Source organism: Homo sapiens, chromosome 6, assembly GCF_000001405.40.
Source record: "Homo sapiens chromosome 6, GRCh38.p14 Primary Assembly".
Lineage (NCBI taxonomy): Eukaryota > Metazoa > Chordata > Mammalia > Primates > Hominidae > Homo > Homo sapiens.
This window is the reverse complement of record NC_000006.12, coordinates 5,115,235-5,141,489: the sequence shown is the minus strand read 5'-3', so window position 1 is coordinate 5,141,489 and position 26,255 is coordinate 5,115,235. Positions and strand designations below refer to the sequence as shown.

General features: G+C 46.0%; 1 protein-coding gene and 1 long non-coding RNA gene across 10 annotated transcripts in view, besides 3 other annotated features; one reads left to right on the top strand and one right to left on the bottom strand.

The window, feature by feature from the left end:
* Nucleotides 1-26,255, bottom strand: part of LYRM4-AS1 (LYRM4 antisense RNA 1) — a 236,681-nt gene that overhangs the window by 99,007 nt on the left and 111,419 nt on the right. The gene's annotated exons all lie outside the window — the stretch shown is intronic.
* LYRM4 (LYR motif containing 4) overlaps nucleotides 1-26,255 on the top strand; it is a 229,198-nt gene that overhangs the window by 119,461 nt on the left and 83,482 nt on the right. The window contains exons 3-4 of one of the 9 annotated variants that reach the window (NM_001318782.1): nucleotides 2,751-2,782; nucleotides 4,624-5,316. The exons of the other annotated variants lie outside the window; for them this stretch is intronic. Coding sequence (NP_001305711.1) covers nucleotides 2,751-2,756 — 6 coding nt within the window. The 3' untranslated portion in view covers nucleotides 2,757-2,782; nucleotides 4,624-5,316. Of the gene's footprint in view, nucleotides 1-2,750; nucleotides 2,783-4,623; nucleotides 5,317-26,255 lie in introns of those variants that run through there. 9 annotated transcript variants of the gene reach the window in all.
* Nucleotides 1,641-1,935: a silencer, noted in NCBI's record as "tiled region #2533; K562 Repressive non-DNase unmatched - State 24:Quies". NCBI's record gives its function as "represses a minimal TATA promoter and a strong SV40 promoter by Sharpr-MPRA in K562 cells {active_cell/tissue: K562}" and the evidence as "EXISTENCE:reporter gene assay evidence [ECO:0000049][PMID:27701403]".
* Nucleotides 11,068-11,654: an enhancer, noted in NCBI's record as "H3K4me1 hESC enhancer chr6:5130070-5130656 (GRCh37/hg19 assembly coordinates)". NCBI's record gives its function as "activates a minimal SCP1, AML or CMV promoter by ChIP-STARR-seq in primed H9 embryonic stem cells {active_cell/tissue: H9 hESC(primed)}" and the evidence as "EXISTENCE:reporter gene assay evidence [ECO:0000049][PMID:30033119]".
* Nucleotides 24,149-24,349: a silencer, noted in NCBI's record as "peak5632 fragment used in MPRA reporter construct". NCBI's record gives its function as "represses an SCP1 promoter by STARR-seq MPRAs in K562 erythroleukemia cells {active_cell/tissue: K562}" and the evidence as "EXISTENCE:reporter gene assay evidence [ECO:0000049][PMID:32103011]".

Genomic DNA, 26,255 nt, shown 5'->3' with positions numbered 1-26,255 from the left:
AGAAGAAATCCTGTATTTACAAGTTCCTGCCCAGGCTATTGAAGAGGCTCTTCCTTTCTGTGGAATGATAGAAGCTTGAGTGGCTTTTGCAGCAGGGACCTGAGAAATCAGCCTACTCTCCACTTTACAGAGAGAAAACTGATGCGCAGAGAAGCCGAGTGATTGCCAAGGACAGAGGGCGAGTTATTGATAAATCAGGCTACAGTCCTGTGACCTAAGGCAGTGTACTTTACTGTTGTGACCTCATCCTCTTAATAGAAAATATGTGAGCATGAGGACCCTGAGACATACCACCCCCATCTCTCCCATCTGCATTATTCCTATGAAGGGCCAGTACCCTCAACAGTGCCATCTTCTTTTTATTTCCACAAATGTGATAAATGCTCAACTTTTGTGAAAGTATAGTTTTTCAAACATGAAAACTAGATTAAAAAGCTGAACATCCAGAATAATTATAACCATAAGGTAGTGGTAGTCATGATCACACACAGAGGCTCTTGGTCTGATTTCTACAGAGAGAAACAATGCTTGAATACTTGTAGAACTGGACACCTGAACAACAAGTTGGAAGGCTTTTAAATCCATTTGGTTGGTTATTTAGGAGGTGGAAGTGGCATAAGGAAGGCAGTACTGCTCACAGTCTAGGAAAAAGGAAAGTCTACGTTTTGGTTTCAGTTCGTGTTACCTCTTTTATTTTTCATAGTGGCAAAATATACGTAACATAAAGTTTACCTTCTTAACCATTTTTCAGCATGTATGTTACATTTTTAACATGCTTTTGTTGAATGGTTAAGAATCTAGGAAATGATAAGCCTTACATGTTCCCAAGTGCAGATCAAGTTGAAGCACAAATTGACTTTCCCGAGCCCAACTCCAGGTTCCAGAAACGGGATCCTCAGCCACACACTGTGCATACCTGTAATGCACTTAAGTACTTTCTACTTGTAAAGTACAGAGAGCACATCATAGTTTGTCTAAACCTTTGTGTTGGTGTCCTTCAACGCCACAGCCTTATGTACTTTGGAAATACTCATTATACAGGTTTAAATGTTCCTTCCTCCAAACAGATTTTTTCAATCTTTTCAAATTTTAGTTAAGCTTTATTTTTTTTTAAGTATTGTTAAAAGACAAACCTTAGACAAAGTAAATTTAACCAAGTTTAACTGAGCAAATAACACTTTGCAAATCAGGCAGCCTGTGAACCAGAATAGGCTCACAGAGGTTCCAGCACAGTCACGTGGTGAAAGGTTTTTTTTTCTTTTGAGACAGGGTCTCGCTCTGTTGCCCAGGCTGGGAGGCAGTGGTGCGATCACGGCTCACTGCAGCCTGGGACTCCCAGGCTTAAGTGATCTTCCCACCTAAGCCTCCCAAGTAGCTGGGACAGGCACAGCACCATGCCCCACTAATTTTTGTATTTTGGGGAGGACAGGGTCTCACCATGTTTTCCAGGCTGGTCTCGAACTCCTGGGCACGAGTGATCCACCTGCCTCAGCCTGGGAATTGGTGGTGTGCTTGTCCCAGCTGCTTGGGAGGCTTACGTGGGAGGATCGCTTCAGCCTGGGAGGCCAAAGCTGCAGTGAGCCGTGATCACACCACTGCCCCCCAGCCTGGGCAACAGAGCAAGACCCTGTCTCAAAAAAAAAAAAGAAAAAAGTGCTGGGGTCACAGGCATGACCCACCACGCCCCAGCCTGGAAGAAAAATTATAGGCAAAAAAAGGAAAGTGATGTACGGAAAATGGAAATGAGGTGCTAAAACAGCCAGATTGGCGACAGTTCAGTTGTTTGCCTTATTTGAGCACAGTTTGAACAATTGGCTGCCTATAGCCAAAGCTCAGTGATCAGCACAAGAGTAGATTATAGTCTGTGTACACATCCAGTTAGGTTACAGTTCACTGCATACACAGAAACCTTTAAAATATGTAAAGAGGCAGCTTTAGGCCAAACTTAATTTAACAATATCTTGTTAATATTAAACACAATCATAGCAAAAGTGTCGAAAACCAGTCAAGTGCTACTGTTTTAAATCGAGCCAAACATTAACTTTTATCTGATACTCCTCATTGTCCTACTCCAGTTTGTATTTGTAAATACAGTGTGACCTGTGTCATGAATGAACCTTAATATTCTGTTGCCTAACTTTGAATGAAGCCTGCGCCTTCGTTGGTCAGAGTTCTGGATATGATATGCTCACCATGTTTCCAGAGTTGCTGGTATTTCTCCAGTTAGCGAGGTGGAAATGCAGCGGTGCCTGGGAAGATCAGAGGCACTGGGCTGGCAGGCCTGCTTTGCCCTGCCGCTCACCAGCTATTGTCATTCAGAACAAGCTACTTATGCTCTCCAGGCCTGTCTTCTTCTCCCTACCGCAGAGATGTCAAAACCTATTTCCAGAGAGTGTTAACAAGGACGACATTCAATTACATCTACAAAGTACCTAGCATAAGTGCCTAGAACATAGTAGGTACTCAACGAACATCAATATTACTCTTCTTTTGAGATCAAATTCTCTTAGGCTTATGTGCAACAATCACTTTGAAGTCCTCTGATTGCTCGAAAGACTTTCTTTAAGACTTCAAAGTATTAACCTGATTGTGAAGAGCAAAATGTCTATGTCTAAAGGATTAATCTCATTTCTAGCTTTTAACCTGTCTTAAACACCTCTAGCACTTGCTTCTGTTTGAAATCCCAAAGAACTCTTTCTTTCTGTTAACTGTTACTCTTAACTTTTATTTTTTTCTCTTTTTACCCCCAGGCATAAAGTCCATAGTCATTGTCTGCCACCAGGTTTGTTTTCTATTGCATCTTGATATTTTCTTGTGTTTTCAGTGGGGAGCATGTTAGAATTCCTTAATATACAGATGTCATAGTATATAAGGTTTTCTTGTGACTTAGTCTGGAAATCATTCATAAAAAAAACAGTCATTATTCTTACTGGCTACTGATAAAAATTCTTTAAGTAAGAAAAACTATCGATTTTTTTTTTTTTTTTTTTTTTTTTTTTTTTGGAGACAGGGTCTCACTCTGTTGGCCCAGGCTGAAGTACAGTTGGCATGATTACGGCTCTCCGCAGCCTCAACCTCCCCAGCCTCAGGTGATCCTCCCACCTCAGCCTCCCGAGTAGTTGGGACTACAGGCGTGTGCCACCATGCCCAGTTAGTTTCTGTATTGTTTGTAGAGACAGGGTTTTGTCATGTTGCCCAGGCTGGTCTCAAACTCCTAGGCTCAAGCAGTCTGCCCATCTTGGCCTCCCAAAGTGCTGGGATTACAGGTGTGCACTACCACACCTGGCCTTTGAATATCTTCTATATATAAAATCTTGGCAGAAATGTCTTCTTTTGTCATCATGAAATTTACTTTCATGAATCCTCCTCAGTGCCCCTTGTCTACCATTAGTCTTTATAGAATCCTTTTTGACCTGCTGAAAGACAGCACCATTGTATTTTTCTTTGCAACTTGTGGAGCCACCACCTTCCCCAGTACGTTTTGACCAAAGGCAAAGTGAACTCTGCACCACCTCAGGCCTCTGAGTAACACAGTGGAAAGGGGTGAGAAGACTTGGCTATTGTGGTTTGCAAAAATGGCAGGATGAATGCTCCATATCCTCCCTCAAAAATACATTCACATGAGGATAATTTGGGTGGTGGGCCACAGGCAGCTTGCAAGGACAAAGCCTGTCAACTCTTACTCCAGTGTGTGACCTGAGTGGAGATGTCTACAAAAGAGCAGGAATCCTGTCTTTGAGAATAGGGCAACAATCAACTGGGTGGTTTTAATTATTCAGATAGAGTCACAGGACATTAGATGCAGAATATTAAAATCTCCATCATTCAGGGGAAATGATCTTAAATACAGATAGAGGCATATCACTAGCCGGGTAGCAGAGTCATTATTTAAAGGACACTAGAGTTCCTCTGTGAGGAGGAACTGAGCTCAAAGAAGATGTTCAGTATCAATGCAGTGAGATTACAGAGTACAAATCTGAACACCTTTGTAAGCTTCTCACTAAGTGGAGGAGTGGGGCCAACTCCAGGAGCTTGGTTTTTGCTTGTCTGAGAATCTCTTGACAGGTCCTAGAAGCAACCATTCTATGTTGGGGCTTAAAAAGAAGAGGTAGTGTGATCCAGCAATCCCACCCCTACATGTATACTCAAGAGAAATGAAAACGTGTCCACACAAAGACTTATATGCAAATATTTATTGAAACCTTATTAGCAATAGCCAAAAAGTGGAAACAACCCAGATGGCCATCAGATAATAAATGGATGAGCAACATGTGGTATAGCCATACAATAAAAATATTATTGGTGGTAAAACGGAACCAAGTACTGATACATGCTAGAACACGGATGGCCCTTGAGAACATTATGCTACGGGAAAGAAGCCAGACACAAAAAGTCACGCATTGTGTGATTTCGTTTCTGTGAAATGGCCAAAATAGGCAAATGCATCGAGACAGAAAGTGGGTTAGCGGTTGCCAGGGGCTAGAGAGGATGGGACATTTGAAAGGCGACTAATGAGTAGTGTTTCCTTGGGGGTAATGAAAATGCTCTAAAATTGATTGTGGTAATGGATGCACAACTGTGAATATACTAAAAACCATTGAATTGTACACTTTAATTGGATAGATTTGATGGTGTATGAATTATATCTCCATAAAGCTGTTAAGAGACATCAGGAAGAGACCAGAGTTTCTTCTGTGCGGAGCCCTCTGCCACAGGAAAGGAAGGAAGTCTACCCAGTCTTCCTACAGGCGCTGCTCCTTGGGGCGGTTTAGCATGTCATTACCACAGACTGTGGCTAGGACCTGTGGGACTCATTTGTAAATGCCACCTTCTTTGACAACACCTGGGATTGTTGAAATGGAAGTAATCGATTACTAGAAGCCATTAATTGAAAGCTGTGTGCCAGGCATTGTAGTAAGACATTATAAATACCATCTAACTTATGTAAAATTGACATTATCCCATTCTGTAGGTAAGGAAACTGAGACTACAGGGTTAGGTGAAACCCAAGGTTTCGGAGCCAGTGATTGGCAGAGCAGGTGTTTAAACCAGGTTTGTCTTGGGACAAACCCCAGGCTCTTAAGTACTACATTATCGTGTCTTCCCGCTTCTCCACCCTCAACCCAGCCCCAGTCAAAAAGGCAGCAGGAAAGGGGACAAGTTATCATTTAGAAGAATACTGATTTGGTTTTAAAAGTATTGAATAGAATGACCAAATGATCTAGTGATTCCATTTCTCAGTATATACCCCAGAGAACTGAAAGCAGGGACTCAAAAGGATACTTGCCCACCAGTGTTCAGAGCAGTATTATTCACAACAGCAACCCAGTGTCCCTCAACAGACGCCTGGATGAACAAAATGTGGTACAGCCGTACAATGGAATGTTACTCAGCCCTAAAGAGGAAGGAAATTCCGCCACACGCCACAGCAAGGGTGAACCTTGACGACATTGTCCTAAGTGAAATAAGCCATAGAAGAAACAAATGCTGTATGATTCCACTTACGGCGGTCCCTAGAGTCCCCCTACAGACGGAAAGTAGAATTGCGGTTGCCAAGGACTGGAGGGGAGGGAGAATGGAGAGTTAGTGTTTAATGGCTACAGGGTTTCAGTGGAGGAAAATGAAAAGATTCTGGAGAAGGATGCTGTTGATGGTTGTACAACAATGTGAATGTACTTAATGCCACAGAGCTGTACACTTAAAATGAATAAAATGATAAATGTTGTGTTTTGTGTATTTAACACACACACATACACATCAGTATTGTGTGTGTTTGAAAGTCTAGAGCTAGAAAGCTTTTTTGAGTATATTTAGCAGGAAAACTTAAAAGAAAGTTCTCGTCTTTGGAGGAGACAGGCCTGAGGCATCCAGAGGAAATGAACACCACCTAGGGAGCCAGTTCCATTCCCATGAAAATCACACCTGGAGCGATCCGCACCCTCCACAGCCCCAGGAGCGATCCGCACCCTCCACAGTCCCGGGAGTGAACCGCACCCTCCACAGCCCCAGGAGCGATCCGCACCCTCCACAGTCCCGGGAGTGAACCGCACCCTCCACAGCCCCGGGAGTGAACCGCACCCTCCACAGCCCCGGGAGAGAACCGCACCCTCCACAGCCCCGGGAGCGATCCGCACCCTCCACAGTCCCGGGAGCGATCCGCACCCTCCACAGTCCCGGGAGTGAACCGCACCCTCCACAGCCCCAGGAGCGATCCGCACCCTCCACAGTCCCGGGAGTGAACCGCACCCTCCACAGCCCCGGGAGTGAACCGCACCCTCCACAGCCCCGGGAGTGAACCGCACCCTCCACAGCCCCGGGAGAGAACCGCACCCTCCACAGCCCCGGGAGCGATCCGCACCCTCCACAGTCCCGGGAGCGATCCGCACCCTCCACAGTCCCGGGAGTGAACCGCACCCTCCACAGTCCCGGGAGCGATCCGCACCCTCCACAGCCCCGGGAGCGATCCGCACCCTCCACAGCCCCGGGAGCGATCCGCACCCTCCACAGCCCCGGGAGCGATCCGCACCCTCCACAGTCCCGGGAGTGATCCGCACCCTCCACAGTCCCAGGAGTGAACCGCACCCTCCACAGCCCTAGGAGTGCCGTTACCAAGGGAGAGGAAGGAGAAGGAATAGGGATGAGATCTCTTAAATAGACATTTGATGACATTTTCCCCAATTTGTTAGTTGCAATGACGAAGACTTTTTGCTGTTTAACCTGTTATTATGGAAAAATGTGAAAATATACAAAAGTATGTAGAATTGTCAAATGAGTCCTGTGTATCCATCACCCATCTTTAAGAGTTAGATACTCTGTAATATCAATAGATGGTATTTTTCATCCTTACGCCTACCCATGCTCTCCCGTATTGTTTTGAGAAACTGTGTATTCGTTTTCATATTAAACTATTTTGGTACATATCTGAAAAGATGATTCTTTTTAAAACATAGCTATGATACCGTTATCATAACTAACAAAATAATGCTAATTCCTTAATATCATCAAATACAAAGTGTTTAAATTTTAATGTCTCACAAATATCACCAATCTTCAAACTGGGTGATCTGTCTGTAATCTGTCTTTAAAAGAAATCTATAGGCCCCATCTGTATCTTTTTTTCTTCCTTGCTCTTCTTTTTCCTTATAATTTATTTGCTGAAGAAGTCAGTTCTTTTGTCTGGATTTTGCTGATTTTATCTTGGTTTTCTTGCTTATCTTACATAAAAACTGAAAGCTCTATCTTAACCAACTAGGTTCTTAGCCTTGGCCAGACATTACACTCACCTGGGAAGCTTGTAAAATCCTGACATGTGTGGAAAGCAGCTTGTCACTTCCTCAATAAGTTAAACATAGAATTACCATATGACCCAGCAATTTCACTCCAAAAGAATGGAAACAGGTTCAGACACAGTCTTGTATTCGTATGTTCACAGCAGCACTATTTTCAATAGCCAAAAGATGGAAACAACCCAAATATCCTTCAGCTGAGGAAAGGGTCAACAATATGTGGTATTTCCACGCAATGGAATATTATTCATCCTTAGAAGTCACAAAGTACTCATGCGTGTTTACAACCTGGATGAACCTTGAAAACACTGCGGTAAATGAAAGAAGCCTGACACAAAAGCCACATATTATATGATTTCATCTGCATGTCTACGGAAACCCATAGAAACAGAACATAGATTAGTGGTTGCCAGAGGCTGGGAAAATAAGAAAACAGGGAGGGGCTGCTTAATGAGTATGGGGTTTCCTTTTGGGGGTGATGAAAATTTCCAGAACTAAATAGTGTTGATGATTGTACAGTTATGAAGGTACTTAATACCACTGAATTACGCACTTTGAAGTGGTTTAAATGATTTTATGTTATGTGAACTTTACCACAATTTTTTATAATTCTGATGTATAAAAACACCCCAGACCAAGTAATTAATAATCTCTTAAGTGTGACCCGAGCATCAGAATATTCTAAAGCCCTCCAAGGGATGCCAGTGTACACGCAAGGTTTGGAATCATTGACAGAGGCTGGACGGGTCAGGATCGTGTCTTTGGAGCCTTCCTCACAGGTGGTGGTGGCGTGCTAGATTTAAGCCCGTGCAAGTTTGCTTCTGTATTCTAAAGGATAACTATGTCTTTTGCACTCCTGTCAGACAGCAGACGCTGTCAGGAATCTGCTGCCTACAGTCACAAAAAATGTTCTCTCCTTTTTTAGAAAATAAAATTTAGGAAAACCTAAGAAGAAAACGATCGATCATCTTGATTTTGCTTTTATGTGAGAGGAAAGAGCCCTCTGTTTCTAGCTACCATATAGATGTGTAAAACAGTGCCACCCATAGCCTCACCCGTGAGATGGCAGCACGGGGACAAGTGGCCCTCAGGCTGCCCAGCACACACACCCTGCCCAACACAACAACAGTAACAAAAAGAGACAAAGTAACCAGTCCTGATTCCTTGGGGAGGCGGGCGAACCTTCTCTAGTCATCTTTGTCCTGCAGTGGCTGGTGCTGCCGTCATACCCGTAGAATCTCAGCAGTGCGTGCTTCCCTACCCTGGGAAGGAAATGTCATTTCCTTGCAAGACTCACTTCTCATGAGCACTGATAGGCCACAGCTGCTGCTGGCTCTGCAGCCTTGGCAGAGTTGCAAATAGGTTAAACGGAGATGGGAGTTCTAGTTCTCTTTTGCTTCAGCCAGCTTCCTTTTCTGGCTAAATCTGAGTAAACTCAAAAGAAACTGGGCAAGGGGTTTACGGCTCCCCATGGTGCTTCACAAAGGTAAGTTCCACTTATGTGATCCAAGAGGTGGTTGGCTTGTGATTTTCTTTGCTCAGCATTACTCGTTAATATCCTGAACTCACATTTCTGAAAACAACTGTAGCTGAGATGTGCTCCTGGAGCAGAACTACAAATTAAACTTGGAAATCAAACCTCCCACTTTCACTCTCAGCCTTTTGTAGCACAGGCTGGGTACTCTTCTCTTTGAAAGCATGGGATTTTCGTTTAAAATGTTAATTAGAAAGAATAGAAGACATTCTTTCAGAGGAGGTGTGTTGTAGTTTCTGTTTTTGTTTTTGTTTTTTTTAAGTGCTAGATTTTGAAGTCAGAAGACCTAGAAAGGAGTATCTCAGCTCCATAATTCATTTACCAATTGTGCAGATGTACACAGGTTACTCAGTTTCTCTGGTTCCATATACTCATTCCTAAGGAAATATGAATATTATGTATTGCATAGGACAAGGGTAAAAACGGTGAGAAACTAAGTAAAGCATGTAAGCTTAGCACATGCCCAGTAAATGTCACTTTCCTAAATATGTATTGCTTATGTATTAAGCAAGTGATCCTCAAACTTAATCCCTGAGAGGCAGGGAGGTTAAGAGATGAGATGCAAAAATGCCCTTTTTCTTTTCTGTGGGCCTGTCCTGAAAGCAACAAGGAATTGGGTACGATCATGAAAACTTGCTTCGGGTTAAACCAAGTTAAAAGTTAGGATCTGCTGATATGTCTTGATCTGTCAACTGGGGATCCACGACTGCTTAAAGATAAAGGCGTAAGTCAGGGATAAAATAATGAAGCCAAGGCATATAATGATTGCCTCTCAATCGTGAGTTGTATCCTGCTGCTTCTTTTCACAAAACATATTTTCCAAGTCTTTAAATATTCTTCTATAATGTCGTTCTTAATGATTGCACAGTGAGGATACGGTACAGCAAAAAGCTATGGACAGCTCTGTGGCAGCTAATTTGAAAATCTAATAAAAAATAAATTAACCTGAGGAATAGAAAGCTTGAATAGACCAATTACCATAGAAGAGATTAAAATATCTACTGGTTTGAGCCTTTTCAGACTTTCTTTTGGCCTAGTCCTTGATGAATTTTTGTGAATGGCTTACAGACAATGTTTTCTTTGTTGTCTTTGGAGGGAGCTTTTTTGCAGGCACAATTTTCTTTTTTCTCTTTTAAGAGATGAGGTGTTGCTATGTTGGCCAAGTTGGTCTCAAACTCCTGGCCTCAAGTGATCCTCCTGCCTTTACCTCCCAAACTGCTGGGATTACAGGCGTGAGCCATTGCACCCAGCCAGACACAAATTTTTTTCATGTATTCTCTGAGATACATGTGTGTGTATTTAGTTTGTCCATTGTATTATTCAAATTCTCTGTGATTACCTTTTTAAGAGGAATATCAAAGCTCCCCACCATCATTTTGCCTTTGTCAGTTTCTCCTTTTATTTCTAATAATTCAGGTTTTATATACTTCGCTACAGTCTTATTTAGTGCTTACAGCTTTATGACTGCCGCATCCTGTCTGTAAATGTTGCTCATTATTTAGTTTGAAGGTTTTAGACTCAATTCTGCCTTGTCAAATATTAATATAAACTAGAATTTTCCCCCGCATATATACCCGGTATATCTTAACTCATCCCTTGATTTTCAGTCTTCCTTTACCACTTTTGTTTAAAGGGTTTTCATCTTGTTTTGTTACCTTTCCCAGTTAGTCCATTCACATTTCATATTATGGCTGATGGAGTTGATTTTATTCTGTCTTATGTTATTATGTATTTTAGTTGGTTCTCTCTTTTCCTTATTTTTAATGGTTTTTATCAAGTGACTATTCATTCCCTGTTTATCTCTCTTTTGTCAGTTTGGAAATTCCATTCTACTTTTCTGTGCCCTTAATGACTGTCTTCTGTAGCCCAATGTTTATAATTAGAAGCATATATTTTTTACTATTATGTATAAGAGGATACCAGTTTTTCCCACCAAGACCTGTTTCCCTAGACATAAATTTCATAAAGAAGTTTATTGCTGACTAGTTGTTTTTCCCGAGTCTCTGAGTGCTCTTGCTGTGTACCACTTGTTGTCTTCCTCTCCTCAGCAGTTTTAGAAGCAGCCATTTGTTTCAGGTTTTTCTGTCTGGCTCCTGGATTCCCTTAGGCAATATTTCTTTGTCGTCTCACTGGGGCCCAGGTCTGCTTGTTACAGCACCCCATGTGCCTACAGTTCTGCAGGTGGTAAACGTGAGTGGCTCCCTGCTCCGGAGGACCAGTGGGGCAGCAGTGGCGGCAGCTGCCAGTCTCCCTGTTCCCAGGTCCCCTGTGCAATGCCAGCCTGACGAACAGGGAGCAACAGCCTTGCTCTCTAGCCCCTGCTTGGCAGATAAAGCTCACTTGGGAGGCAGTGACAGCCAGATTCCCAGGGCTCACACGTCTCCTCCAGGCCCACTAATCCCAGAATCCCAGCGTTGGCCTCCAGGCCCTGCATGGTCCACCAGGAGGAAAGCTCTCATGAACTCCCCCTGCAGCCCACGCCCAGGCCCAAGACCTCACTCACACCAGTGTCTCCCCCAGCGCTGGGGTGGGAACAGGGGAAGCATAGTCTATTCAGGGCTCCACAGTTCCAGAATTCCTCTCTCTAGTACCTCTTAATGAAAAAGATTTCAGATTTAATTAGTTTTTGTAGCCAGAGCTGGGAATCTAATCCATATTTAGAACATAATCTGTAAGAAAAGCATATTCCAAGTACTTACCAACTTTGAATGAAGACTTCTGCAGCACAGCTGCCTTCCCACCCGTCCATACCCCTGCTTCACCTCAGCACGAATCTCTCTGACTTGGCCTGTTGGGCTGCTTTGCGCTCTCGCTTCTCCCTCCCTTCAGTGTGGCTGGTGGAGTAAGGATGGTCCTAGGTCCTACATTTTCACATTTTCCACAGTAAGATACATTACATTTTTAAAAATAATTGTTTTCAACAAAGCCATAAAGGAAGATCTGGTAGGCTGAATAATGGCCCCCAAAGGCGTCCACATCCTAATCCCCGAGACCTGTGAATGTTACATTTGATGGCAAAAGGGACTTCACAGGTATGATCAAATGAGGACCTTAAGATGGAGATCAGCCTTGGTTATCCACATTGGCCCTACTGTAATCACAACTATTCTTCTAAGAGGAAGGCAGAGGGAGGTTTGATTGCACAGAGAGAGAAAGTGGCAGAAGCAGAGATCAGAGCGGCTGCTTCGAGGATGAAGCAGGCACCCCAGGCTAAGCAACGCAGGAGGCCATACAAGCTGGAAAAGACAAGGAAACAGATTTTCCCCAGAGCCTCGGGAAGAAGCCAGCCCTGACAACACCTTGACTTTCACCCAGTGAAACTGATTTTTGACTTCTGGCCTCCATAACTGTAAGAGAATAAACTTGTGTTGTTCAAAGCCACCTGTTTGGGGGTAATTTTTGACTGCAGCATTAGGAAGCTAACACACAGGGTAATCCTTTGGAGAAACCTGGGTTGTCTCAGGGCAGCCCGCGAGCCCAATGCCACTATTTCCCATATTCCCAGCTGAGTGCGGGAGCAGGTAGACGCAGTCCGAAGATCACACCATCAAGTGCAGTGGCCACTGATGGCCTGGAAGCATAGCTGGGGTGCAGGCAGGGTTGTGGCCGCTCGCAGCCTCTAAGCCCTCAGGGACAGTGCACACGTGGAGAGAAGTCCTTTGGGGGATTGAGCAGTTTTTTGAGCAAGCGCATATGTAAGGAGCACATCAGAAGCTCTGGAGAGGCAAAGTCAAGCCTTTGAAGGGCATAGGCCCAAGCACTGGCTGCCCAAGAGAAGCCCCAGGCCCTTCTCTGCTGGTAGCATCTGCTCCCTCCAGGTGCTGGCGGCATCACCTAGTCATGCAGGTGACATGGGGCCTCACACAAAAAAATGTAAATAAAAGCAAGATTGATGAGCTTGGTCATACCCCATGTAGTAGTTCATATCCAGAGTCCTGTGGGAACATCGAAGTGTGGACAAAGAGGAAACCAAAAGAACAGTAAGAGGGTTCAAGAGACATGTTCACAAAATAGTTATGAGGAGGGAAAAGAGGAGGGAAGCATCTTCTCCAAATGCACGTATTTGTGACTGTCACTTCCTCTCAAGGGGCACTGAAATCTCCAGATATGATTTCCTTCCCTGAAGAGGAAGAAGTTAAAGGTGGCTCCTTTTTATCTGCCATCTGTCAGCCAGGCAGCCTTGTCACTTTGACTTTCTTCAAAGAGATGTACTCCACCACTATGAAGCCCAGTAGTTCCATTTACTCCTGAGTGAGGGGTGAGCTAGGGACGCAATTTGTATCTACGAGGCCACAGGGCATTCTTATTTTGCAACTCCATATCACCCCTGTGTACAGCTGGGAGCAGGGTGTGTGAGCGGTGATGGGTGCCCTGCTTCCAGGATATAAATGTCATCACTGCAGTCCTCTTCACTATGGCAGCTTCTATAAAATATTTCTCTGCAGACAGTAAGAAACCTAAATTGGGATTTTCACTTAATTTTTATTAATCCAAGCAGAACCAAGTTTGCTTTATAGAGAAATCAACAACTGTAAGACACCCTCTCCCATTGCCTGCCCAGACTCTTCCTCGTCCAGGTGCTGATTTGTCTACCACCAAAAAAATTGTAAAGGATGGTGTAAATGTCAATTTCTGGGTTTCATACTATCCTATAATTCGGCAGGATGTCTCCATTGGAGGAAATAGGGTGAAGGGTACAGGGACCCTCTCTCTACTATTTTTTGCAACTTCCTGTGAATGTATATTTATTTCAAAATTAAAAGCAAGGGTTAAAAATGGTAAATTGTAATGTAACAATGTTGTTTTTATCACAGGTTTTAAAAAACCCACTAAAAATAAATAAAAATGAAAAAAGGATGATACAGATCACATTGTCTATTAGAAAAATCACGTAAGCTATAAATGCAAGCTATATGTGTAATTGTCTAGTTGCCACATTTTAAAAAGCAAAAAAGAACAGGCAAAATTAATTCTAATAACAATTTCTTTAACCCAGTATATTTAAAAGATTGTCATTTAAGCAATACAAAAAAATTAACATATTTTCCTTTTTTTCTTACTAAGTCTTTGAAACCCAGTCTGTATTTTATACTTTATAGAACATCTCTGTTTGGACCAGCCATATTTCAAGTGCTAAACAGCCACATGTCCAATGGAGTAGCACAAGTCTAGACAGTATTGGGGCTGTAATTGCGAAATATTTAGTGACTTTTTAACCTGTATTTTTTAACATCTTTATTGAGATTCACATACCTTAAAATTTACCCATTTAAGGTATATTATTCAGCCGGGCACGGTGGCTTATGCCTGTAATCGCAGCGCATTGGGAGGCCGAGGCAGGTGGATCACTTGAGCCCAGGAGTTCAAGACCATCCTGGGTAACATGATGAAACCCTGTCTCAACAAAAAGTACAAAAAGAGGCCAGGCACGGTGGCACATGCCTGTAATTCCAGCACTTTGGGAGGCCAACGTGGGCAGATCACTTAAGGTCAGAAGTTTGAGACCAGCCTGGCCAACATGGTGAAATCCCATCTCTACTAAAAATACAAAAATTAGCCAGGTGTGGTGGCGGGTGCCTGTGGACCCAGCTACTTGGGATGTTGAGACAGGAGAATTGCTTGAACCCGGAAGGCGGAGGTTGCAGTGAGCCAAGATCGTGCCACTGCACTCCAGCCTGGGTGACAGTGAGACTGTCTCAAATAAATAAATAAAGTATATTATTCACTGGCTTTTAGTATATTCAGAGTTGTGCCAGCATCACTACAATCAAATTTAAAACATTTTCAGCACACCAGAAAGAAACCCCGTACTCATTCGCACTCACTCCACACTCCCTCCCACTTGCCCACCCATCCCCAGCCACTAACCTGCCCTCTGTCTCTATGTATTGGCCTGTTCTGGATATTTCATATAAATGGAATCATACAATATGTGGCCTTTTGTGTTTGGCTTCTATCACTTAGCATAATATTTTCAAGGTTCATCCTTGTAGCATGTATCTGAACTTCACTCCTTTTTGAGGCTAAATAATATTCCATTGTATGAACATACCACATTTTATTTATTTGTTCATCAGTTAATATGTATTTGGGCTGTTTTCACTTCTTGGCGGTTGTGAATTGTGTTGCTGTGACCATCTTTGTGCACGTTTCTGAGGCGTATGTTTTCATTCCCTTGGGTGTAGTTGCTGTACAGAATCATTCTTGCACTGTACTTCAGTTGCTTTTTCATGCATTTCTCTGGGCTGTTATCTGCCTGCTGTCTGCATTCTTCAAATACCTGAGCATTTCTAGCAACTACACTGCCGATCTCCCCAGGGTCTTGAAGGGTTTGTTTCCATTCCCCTGAGCATTATACTCAGTTGGTGCTGGTGGCCTGGCTCTGGCCAGGTCACTAGCAAAGGGCCAAGGATGTGAAGGTTTTTCATCACTGTCTTCCAAGGGAGAGGAAGCCTTGTGTTTGCACAGCTCTGGAAGAGTCATTGTTCTGCATCAGAAGAGCTTAGGATACTTCTATCAAAAAGTAAAGGAAATAATCTTCATATCTAAAGGGCTTAACTTTGTGGTAAACTCTGCAGCTTTCTATAATAGGGTCCCAAAGGTAAGTGACAGGAACGTATTACTCTAATTCAGAAATAAACCATGTGCATGGTGAAAGGCGATGTCTTCGCAAACTGCCCAGAAGGAAGGTCTTGTCCCACCAATGGGCAGTGTCCTCAGGGTTAGACCCAGAGTCAGTGTCCCTTTGTCTTGATGCTGAGAAAAGTGGATCAGCCGCCTTGTTTGAACCAAAACGCACATCAGAAATGGGTCCAAAGGAAAGCCACTTACTGCAGGCTGAGTTTGTGGGATTCAGAGGTCAGAGTGCAAACCCAGAGCTTTTCTCACTGAGCTTATCATCAAAGCCTTCAAGGTTTGCTTTGCCTAAAAAGAGCTGAGTCCCTCAGATATCTCAGTTTCCTAGTTCATATGAGTACATTAGAACGTCTTGTCCCTAAACAGCATGAAGAATGCTCCTGGGAGGGGTGCCTCCCTCTGCCAGGCTCAGCTGCAGGCTTGTGGCAACTCCATGTGTGGTGACCACTCTGGGATTCTTGTTCCTCTTCTGCCAGGGCTTGCCCTGAGACCTTACACAGGTGACTCCTTCTCTTGGAATTCATTCCTTCGTCCAGCAGAGTGGCTGAGGCACCACGCGAGGCACTGGGAACAGGCCAGGGTCACTGTGCTCGAGGAACTGACAGGTGAATGGGGGTGTTTGCTCACAGCCTGGGTCATGGGCTCCATCCCGGCTGCCTAGACCAAAGGTTCCATGTCGAGGCAACCAAAGCATGTGATAGGCCAGGACTAGTTGATTGGAAGAGGGAGGAGAGCTGGGGGAGGGCCTGGCACCCAGCCAGGGAATGAGGATTCCGTAGGAGTGAGCCATCCTAGAAACCACTGGAGGTTTCTGGGCCATGGGTTGATGTGATGAGCATGTGTCTCTAGAGGGATGACTTCAGCAGCCATGCAGGTGCAGCAAGGTGGGGCACAGGCCCCTTCTCCTTACCGTGGCTGCAGCAGCCACGTCAGCAAGGCCAGGAAGATGCTCACAGTTCTTGTATGAAGATGACTGGCTTCCCAGCCTCTTAGGGATAGTTTCACTAGGAGACGAGGGAAGCCCTGCACTGCTAGGTGCTGGGGACATGAAATGGGCTCATCCCAACTTCAGGGGGCTCACAGTCTCATGTCAGAGACAAACACCGAAACCACACAAAGTATACTCACAACCCAGTGTGGCTGGTGCTGGATGGTGACAGGGCACAGTTGTGAATACCTGGAGCAGTTTTCCAGAGCATGGTCTGCGGCCTTATCCCAGATCTGCTAACTCATAATCTCTGGGGAGGCAGAGAGCCCTCCGGTAAAGCCGGCACCCACTGCAGTCTGAGCCCTGCTGGCCAAGGGAGCCGGGCAGGGAGGTGGGTCAGGGACACTTGCTGGTTGGAGGGCCCGCCCCTGTCAGGATGAAGTCTGCCGCCCACTGTTGATCCTTTGTTAAATGGCTACCTGCTTGCCATCATGGTGATTGAAGTCGAATCCCATCTCCCTGAATAGAGGTGATTGTCGCTTGGAGATCCACCCATGAGGGATGAATATTTCTGAAGTCACACTTTAGGCCAGTCGGAGGCATAGGCAAAAGGCGGAAATGGAAAAGAGGAGAAAGAACAAAGAAGCAAAGGACATAAGAACTCAGCCCTGTGTCTGCTAGGAAAGAAACCTTTTCTCTAAATTTTCTAAAAACTAGGAAGTAAGGCTGGACTCAGTGGTTCACACCTATAATCCCAGCACTTTGGGAGGCTGAGGTGGGAATTTCACCTGAGACAGAGCAGCGGGGGCAGCAGCAGGAGAAAAGTGGACATGTTCTGGTGTGGAGGCCAAGGCTTCTGGGCCGGTATGTGGAGCCCTACAAGTGGGTTCTTTTCCCTCTAGGTGTTTAACTGGAAGGTATGTTCAGTAAACTGGGCCTCAGGGACCACACTAGGGCTGTGGAGCCACCAGCCAATTCCCCAGGCCCTAAGACAGCCCCAGGGACCTGGGAGGTGAGCTTGCTAAGAGAGAGCGTGTGCCCGCCCTCTCCACGGCCCTGGGAGAGCAGAGGACTACCAAAGAGCCACCACAGTTGGACTGGCACCAGAAAACAGGAGGCCCAGCTCCCCACCTCCCAGACCCCAGTGTCATCTGAGGCTCCCATCCACGTCATCTTCACCTCTTGCAGCACACAGCTGTTCTGTGCAGCTGTGCGTGCATCTCCCCTGCAGAATGCTAGAGAAAAACTACACTGTGAGTGGCTCGATGGTGGCCTGTCACCACAGACCATGGCTTCCTTTTCAGGGACAGCCCAAACTCTTACTCCGAGGTCCTCGCCCTACAGGTGACACTCAAAATACTGAACTGCCGTGGGCCATCGGCATGGGCCCCTCAGAATGGAATCTGGTCGCGCTAGAGCAGCATGTCAGTGGCCTACCAGGCCAGATGGGAGCCAGGGCACCCCAGGAGAGGGAAAAGGGAGGAGGGCAGTTTATTAAGTAGGGGCCGTGGGAACAGCTGGAAGTTGTTCAACTTCTGACCACAAGGCCAGGGCATGCTGCCTGAACGTCAGTTTTGTCCTATACCCCGGCCAAGGGTCCCCTTCCCCCAGAAGTGCTTATACGTATACTCAGATGTCTCCTAGATCCTGCGATGTGGGGGTCCTACAGAAGAGCTTAGGAGCAGTGTCTTCGGGGGTGAGTCACGTTAACCAGGGCACTGCTTGTTCCCTGCTCACCGCCCCCTGTCCCACCACTGCTGACTGCCCATGTCCCACCCTCTGTTCTCTCTCACCTCCACTCTCCATGACCAGCTCTTCCTGAGGGCTTCTGGGAACAGAGCTGCTGCCTTCCCGAGGCTGGGGTTGGGATGAGGACGTGTGTGCTGAGCGAGGGTCAAGTATTCTCAGAGCACCGGGCCCACTGCCCCAGCTGAGGCCCTGTCAGGCCCTGTGGCTCAAGGCGATGTTTTTCCCTCTCACCATTTTGGGGCTCCCTTCAGCCTGACTTCTGGGTGGGGGGAGACAAAGGAGCCCAGGTAGTTGGGTATGTTGGTATACCGATGACCCCAATATCGTTAGCCTGTGACATCATTCCTGGAAGGCTCCCAAGCCCTGGGAAATTGAGAGGGTGTTGCTGGCCACGTGTTTACAAGTCCGTGGATGTCGCGTAGCAGCTCCCTGAGGGAGGTGAGCAGAGGAACATACTGCAGCCATTGGGAGGAGACAGTTGGGTCTGTGCGTGCCAACGTGGAAGGATGCCTGGGATGCTGAGCGTGAAGGAGAGCATGTACTGGGAAACCGTGCAGACGGGGATGTCTGCCTCGTTTGTCTCTGTTGGTATTCACCACCATTTCTTGCATGAGCCAGATGTTGGCCCACGAGCGCAGAGGTAGGACAGCTGCCACCAGCCATGGCATGCAGCCAGGAACAGGTGGATGTGGGACTGTCCAAGAGAAACTTCTGGAAAGCACTGGGTCGGCGAGAGGAGGGAGCCCAACGGGGAAGGGGCACTCATTGCATCTCATCAAGGGATGTTGTTCATTCCTGACGATTTGATGCCAAAAAGCATCAGACTCCCCTGGACCACTTATTTAAAGAGGCCAGCAATCAGCACATTTTACAAGCCTAAATTTAAAGAAAAAAACAAGTATGACTTCTGGTTCCTACTCTGGAAGCCCTTTCCAGTTCTGAGTGTTGCATTTCTGGTGCAGGACCCTTGACTCTGGTTCTGCTGTGTTCGTTGCTCTGGAAATTGTGAAACTCTCAGAGTGGTGACATCTCAATGCTACCCGCCATCTGGAAGCCCACAAAGTCAGGAACTTCTAGAATCAGATTAGTGTGGGTGATTATTCTCTGTACCGTCCAACCAAGCAGGGTGCTGGCAGTCATCACCGGATGAAGGTGACAGGCAAAACCAGGGAGGCCGTCCATCTTTAAGTCTCTGCAAACAAGTCTTCTGGGGATGGGTGAGCAGACTCGGGATGTGCCTTTTTCCCGCAGGTTTCTGCTGAGCTTGCCTGCTCAGTTATATTTGATTAAAGCAAATATTAAAACCAGAACTGGTTCAAGTCGACTTTGAAAAAAGGTGTCCCTGGAGGAGTAAAATAACAACAGGCAGCCTGATTGCCCCAGAAAGTTTGTCAAAGATATGTATCCCCCAGAGCAGGTGGTGAACACACCATCAAGAACTTGCTCATTCCCCAGCACACATCCCAGGAAGGATCAGCCTCAGCATTTGCATCACCTTGTAGCTAATTGTAGAGGGGCCAGGATTCTGGCCTTGCCGCTGTGGTTTTGGTGGCATGAAGCAGAGTTCAGGGACAGACATGCAGCTGAGCTTTGGTCTCTCCCCAAATGCAGGAGTGTGACCTCTGATGGGACATTACCTCTGGCAGTTTGCCTGGGCTCTGTTGTCGCCATCCCAGGGAAATGCCAGGTTTTCCTCTGACGTGATGTTTGGGCCCTGAGTTCTGCCCAGTTCCCAGAAGGGCCTGGTGACAGTTGCGGCAGTGCTGACATGTAACGTGGTGTGCTGTTTGGATGCTTTTGTCTCGGGGATCCTCTGTTGTGCAATGCTGCAATGCCAGCTCCAGGGGACTCCTGGCTAGTGGCTGGCACTGTTTGTATCCACTCTTCCCATGTGGCCTTCTCTGCACTGACCATCAGGGGTCGGGGAGGTAGCCGTCTCCTGTTTTATAACTGTCTTCCCCACCCTGAGCAGTGGTCTAGACCAGCAGATAGAAATCACGCATAAAACCCAGCTCCTCTAAAGTACAGGTGTACATATAGAAGACAGGAAGATATTCCCTGCCTTCAGCTAGCAGTGTAGCAGGCGATAGCATCCTATAGGAACACTGTAGGGTGCAAAGATACTTCTGTCCCCTGGTTTTGTAGTCCATGGCCCTATGTACCCAAAGTACACCTGGTAGGAAAATAGATACTCTGGTTTTTTGCTTGTTTTTTGGAAAAGTATGCACTCCATTGCAGGGCAGGGGTGGAGGGAAGGAAAACCAGGTAATACTCAAAAAATAAGTGCTAAGCCTGAATCCCCTTAGATGAGCACTGCTTCTCATTCAGGGACGCTAGTCAGAAGCAAGGAAGCAATGACATGCGTGCCCCCACCCCCCAACTACCTCCCTGATGAGAAATTCCACAGGTAGGGCTGGGCCACCTAGGTCCTACTGAGAGGCGAAGCCAGCTGGACTTCCTGGGTCGAGTGGGGACTTGGAGAACTTTTCTGTCTTACAAGAGGATTGTAAAATGCACCAATCAGTGCTCTGTAAAAACGCACCAATCGGCACTCTGTAGCTAGCTAGAGGTTTGTAAAATGCACCAATCAGTGCTCTGTAAAAATGCACCAATCAGCGCTCTGAGGCTAGCTAGAGGTTCGCAAAATGGACCAATCAGCACCCTGTAAAATGGACCAATCAGCACCCTGTAAAATGGACCAATCAGCACTCTGTAAACTGGACCAATCAGCAGGACATGGGCAGAGACAAATAAGGGAATAAAAGCTGGCCACCCCCAGCCAGCAGCAGCAACCCACTGGCGTCCCCTTCCACGCTGTGGAGACTTTGTTCCTTCGCTCTCCACAATAAATCTTGCTGCTGCTCACTTTTTGGGTCCACACCACCTTTAAGAGTTGTAACACTCACGGTAAAGGTCTGTGGCTTCATTCCTGAAGTCAGAGAGACCACGAACCCACCAGAAGGAACAAACTCCGGGCACACTACAAAGCAGACCCTGTGGCTCCCGTGCACAGACCTCAATAGGAACCTCTGCCTTAACATGTGTGCCCATTCAAAAAGGACTCATTCCTGCAGAGGGAACAGAAAGCTTGTGAGATGAGAACCACTGCTAGCTGCCCACGACTTTGGGCTCTTTGAGATCCATTCAAATAATTTCATTCCCGGCCAGGCACCGTGCCTCATGCCTATAATCCTAGCACTTTGGGAGGCCGAGGTGGATGGATCCCGAGGTCAGGAGATGATGACCAGCCTGGCCAATATGGCAAAACCCCATCTCTACTAAAAATACAAAAAAATTAGCCAGACGTGGTGGCATGCACCTGTAGTCCCAGCTACTCGGGAGGCTGAGGCAGAAGAATCGCTTGAACCCAGGAGGCAGAGGTTGCAGTGAGCCGAGATCATGCACTCCAGCTTGGATGACAGAGCGAGACTCTTTCTCAAAAAATAAAATAGTTTCATTCCCTTTCCTATGATGATGCGGAATGTCACAGATGCCACAGAAAGAGACCATCACATGGTGGGCCTTTTTTGTGGTTGTTTTTTTTTTTTTTTTTTTTTTTTTTGTTATGGAGACAGAGTCTCATTCTGCCACCCAGGCTATAGTGCAATTGTGCAATCTCGGCTCACTGCAACCTCTGCCTCCCAGGTTCAAGCATTTCTCCTGCCTCAGCTTCCCAGTAGCTGGGATTACAGGCATGGGCCACCACGTCCAGCTAAATTTTTTTGTATTTTTAGTAGCGACGGGGTCTTGTCACATTGGTCAGGCGGGTGTTGAACTCCTGGCCACAAGTGATCCGCCCGCCTCAGCCTCCCAAAGTGGTGGGATCACAGGTGTGAGACACCACACCCAGCCTTTTTTAAGTGAACATGAGACATTCAGAAAGACAACAAGCCGGTGCAGCATGCTGACAAAAGTGGATAAGAGTGAGGACAACTGCGTGTTCATGATTGAGGCAGACACCTGAGAATGAACAAGCGCTCTATCTATAGTCACCCAGGGACAGTGGATGTGGACTGGACGTGTGGGCATGCTGATGAAGAGTGCACGCTCTTGCACCTTGTTTCTCTCTTGTCCCAACAAGCAAAGACGAAACATATTAATTATTAACTGTGACACGGGATAGTGGGCAGGGATATGAACTTGCTCATCACTCTGCCAGCAACAACACAGAGGAAATAAGAGGCCGACTCCCCACTGCCTCCCTCCACATTAAGAATATCCCATATCTAACATTCAAGGCTTACAGGAAGGATGGAGATGGAGTGTGTACTGGGAGAGGGGAAGCAAAAAGATGCACCCCTGGCTTCTTTCACATGGCCTTCTTTCTCAGCTACCACACTTCATTGGAGATTGAAGTTTCAGTATTCCAGTTCGGATGATCCCTTCAGGCACTCCTCTGTTGCATAAAATGGTGGCAGAATTAAAAGTAGCAGTGTTATGCTATTATATGTAAACATTTTGAAAAACAAGCCTGCTGGATTCTAGAAAGAAAAAAGGTTATGTGGACTGAGGGCTATTTTTAGAGGAATACCATGGGGTCGATATTCGTAAGTTTGGGTTTCACAATACTTCTTGCTGCTATACAGAACAGACTGAAAAAATACAGACATAAATTCATGTGTCCCTATTTCAGTGTGCTTTTTTTTTGAATTGGGAAATATAAAAAGCATGATAAAAATGGTCTATTTGACAAATAAGCTTTTATCGCTGGTGACTTGACAGTGGCAAGGCTGTGGCAGTGCCTCTCCATGCTGGGATCTCACCAGGGACAATTGCTGCATGAATTGCAGGCGGCGTGAAAGGATGTCCAGCCTTGTCATAAGCCAGAGGAGGGCCACAGATGTCATGCTTACCTTCCTCAGTGCAGGTGAGCAGGAGCAGGCAGTTTAGCATGTGCCATCTGAGACCATATGCTGAAATTCTACTATCAAAAATGTATTGGCCAGGCATGGTGGCTCATGCCTGTAATCCTAGCACTTTAGGAGGCCGAGTCAGGCGGATCACCTGAAGTCAGGAGTTTGCGACCGGCCTGGCCAACATGGTGAAAGCCCATCTGTACTAAAAATACAAAAATTAGCCAGGTGTGGTGGTGCATGCCTGCAGTCCCAGCTACTCGAGAAGCTGAGGCATGAGAATCACTTGAACACAGGAGGTGAGGAGGTGGAGGTTGCAGCGAGCTGAGAGCACACCACAGCACTGCAGCCTGGATGACAGAGTGAGACTCTGTCTCAAAAAAAAAAACAAAACAAAACAAAACAAAAATATATATATATATATTGTTTTGGTGACTTAAGGGGTTTTTTTGGCCTTCCAAAGCCCCCATGAAAGTGTAGCTATCTTAGGAAAGTGCAGTGTCTTAAAAATATGCTTCTGAAACTGGGTGTATCAGAAGGTACTCAAAGGCAACAGGGTAAAAACAGTGCGTCGTTTTGGAGGGTCAGGGTTACTTGTCAACTTGGAGGAAAAAAAAACTGTTAAGAGACTGGGTCTTGCTATGTTGCTGAGACTAGAGTGCAGTATTTATTCACAGGCGAGATCGTAGAGCACTACAGCCTCGAACTCCTGGGCTCAAGCAACCTTCCCACCTTAGATTCCTGAGTAGCTGGGACTACAGTTGTGTACCAAGGTGGGTTTCCCTACCACATCTGGCAGGGAAAACATTTGTATACAAAAATAGGCATAAATATGCTATAGAGCAGAGTACACCATTTACATGAAGATCAATACGAGACTTCCAAGAAATATTCTGGCTACAAAAGCCCCTTTAAGCTAAGTCCCAAATCCCCAGGAGAACAATTTTTTTTTTTTTTTGAGACAGAGTCTCGCTCTGTCACCAGGCTGGAGTGCGATCTCGGCTCACTGCAACCTCTGCCTCCCAGGTTCAAGCGATTCTCCTGCCTCAGCCTCCCGAGTAGCTGCGATTACAGGCGCACACCATCACACCCAGCTAATCTTTGTATTTTTAGTAGAGACAGCGTTTCACCATGTTTGCCAGGATGGTCTCAATCTCTTGACCTCGTGATCCACCCACCTCGGGCTCTTAAAGTGCTGGGATTACAGGCGTGAGCCACCGCGCCCCGCCCATGATACGCATCTTGACAGAGACAGGCCTAGCACAAGTCTGTGCATGTAAGTAACGCTTAGCAGGCTCTTGCCAGGTGCCTGGCACTGTGCTTGTTTAATCCTCCCAGTAGCGTTAGGACATTTCATATGTTTGGGCCCTGGGAAGGAACTGGGGAAAATGGTAGATTTTCTTCATATCTAGTGTTTTGTTTGATTCCCATAACAACTCTGCGAAATAGGCAGGAAGTGGCAGAGGCAGGAGTAGGGATTCCAGCCCAGGGCTGCATCCGTTCCCCACCTTCCCCACCCACTCCCCTGGCAACTGCGCCCAGCTTCTGGGACCCCCATCAGATAGAGATGTGTTGCGGGGATGGCTGTGCATTGCTTCAGAAGAGGAAGCGGTGAAGACCTGAAACATTGTGCCCAATTGTATTTTCTGATATCCTGCTCCTTCCTCCCCTGCAGGTTATTTGTCTAATGAGTCTCAGAGCTCTTAAGTGTTTCTGGGCCATCTAGTCATCCCCAGCTACTGGCAGCTGAGTAATCTGTGTACTTTTCCAATGGACTCTAATGCCAACTCCCTAAACTTAATAGAATAAAAGTGTGATCAGCTTTAATGACCAATTTATGCACAGTAATAGTCTGATGTGGCTGTATAAGTCAATTTGGGATTCTGGAGGGACTGTAACTTGAAGGTGTTAATTGCACTACCTTACTTCCGTTGACCAGACCCTCACACCTGCAGCTTGGAGCATCGTTCTCTGCCATTAGCACCACGGCAGCAATCCCGGCTAGCCTCCCGTTGTGTGCTGGCACATTTTACAGCCCAAATAAATGCAAGAGAACTGTTACACAAACATTTACTGCCTCAACTCCTTACCCCTCACTGAGATAACTTTTTAATATTTCCTCCCTGTGTGAACTGAGTATTTCCCCTTCTTCTTCTGTAATGGCTCTGAAAATCCCATATAGAATCCCCCGGATTCTAGCCTTAAACCCTCTGCTGGGCCAAATTTAAATCATTTGATTTCACTTAATGGTCAGTGAACATTCTTTTTGCAGTAAATGGTCCTACCGCTGTTTTTATTCACTTGTCTTCATCAGTTCTGTATTTCCACTTGTGGCTTACCATCAGAGCACTCTGTAGTCACTCATCTCTCCGGATTTTAGAGTCAGTGAGCACAGACCCTCAGAACCATGGAGTATGGGACTGATATTTTTAGTTGTTAGGTACTTTCTGAGCACTTCCTATGTGTCTGGCACTGTCCTAAACTGTGCTTTGAAGGCACCTAAGTCAAGTAACATGATCCCTTCTCCCTCCTCCCCTCAGTCACCGATGCTCATGTAGGGGAACTGAGGCAGGCCCACTTACCATTTCAGTATAGGGACCATGTGGGTGGCCCCAATATATGCAGTATATGTATCAGACAGACACGCATCTCTGTATCCTCTTAATACCATTCACATTGTAAGACCTGATGTCATTAGTTCTTTTCCCCCCAAGGGCCATAAAATTGTCATACTGGAATGGGTTTTTTTTAAATTTAATTCAAACTTCTGTCAAAGCAGACTATAAATTTGGTTTGTTTTGATTTCAAGTTTCCTGAAACTTGGCTCTTCAGATTGCCCCCCAGTTCTTTATTCTGTGGGTTTCCTGTGGGGTCTTTTCCATGGGGCTGATCCCACCTCACAGCTACATGCCTTACGGGAGGGCACCCCTCCCCTAGAATTTTCATCCTCTAGATTGGTGGACTTTGTGAAATAGACATGATGGTAACTGCTGTAATGGGGGCTTTGGTAAGGAACGCAGCAGAGGGCCACACAACAGGAGAATCCCGTGTTCTTGTTCTAGCCGCCGCATAGAGAATACGGCCTTTAGCACACAGAGCTCACACAGGGAGCTACATGGGGAGAAGCGTGTTTGTTCTGCGGCATGATAAGTGTGCCGCCAAAGCCTTCAAAGGGGCCACCAGAGGGAGCGTCAGCCGGACAAACAGACCTTCTGGAAAGTAGTTTTGCAAGATCCATCAGTAACCATCAAAATATTCATATCTGTTTA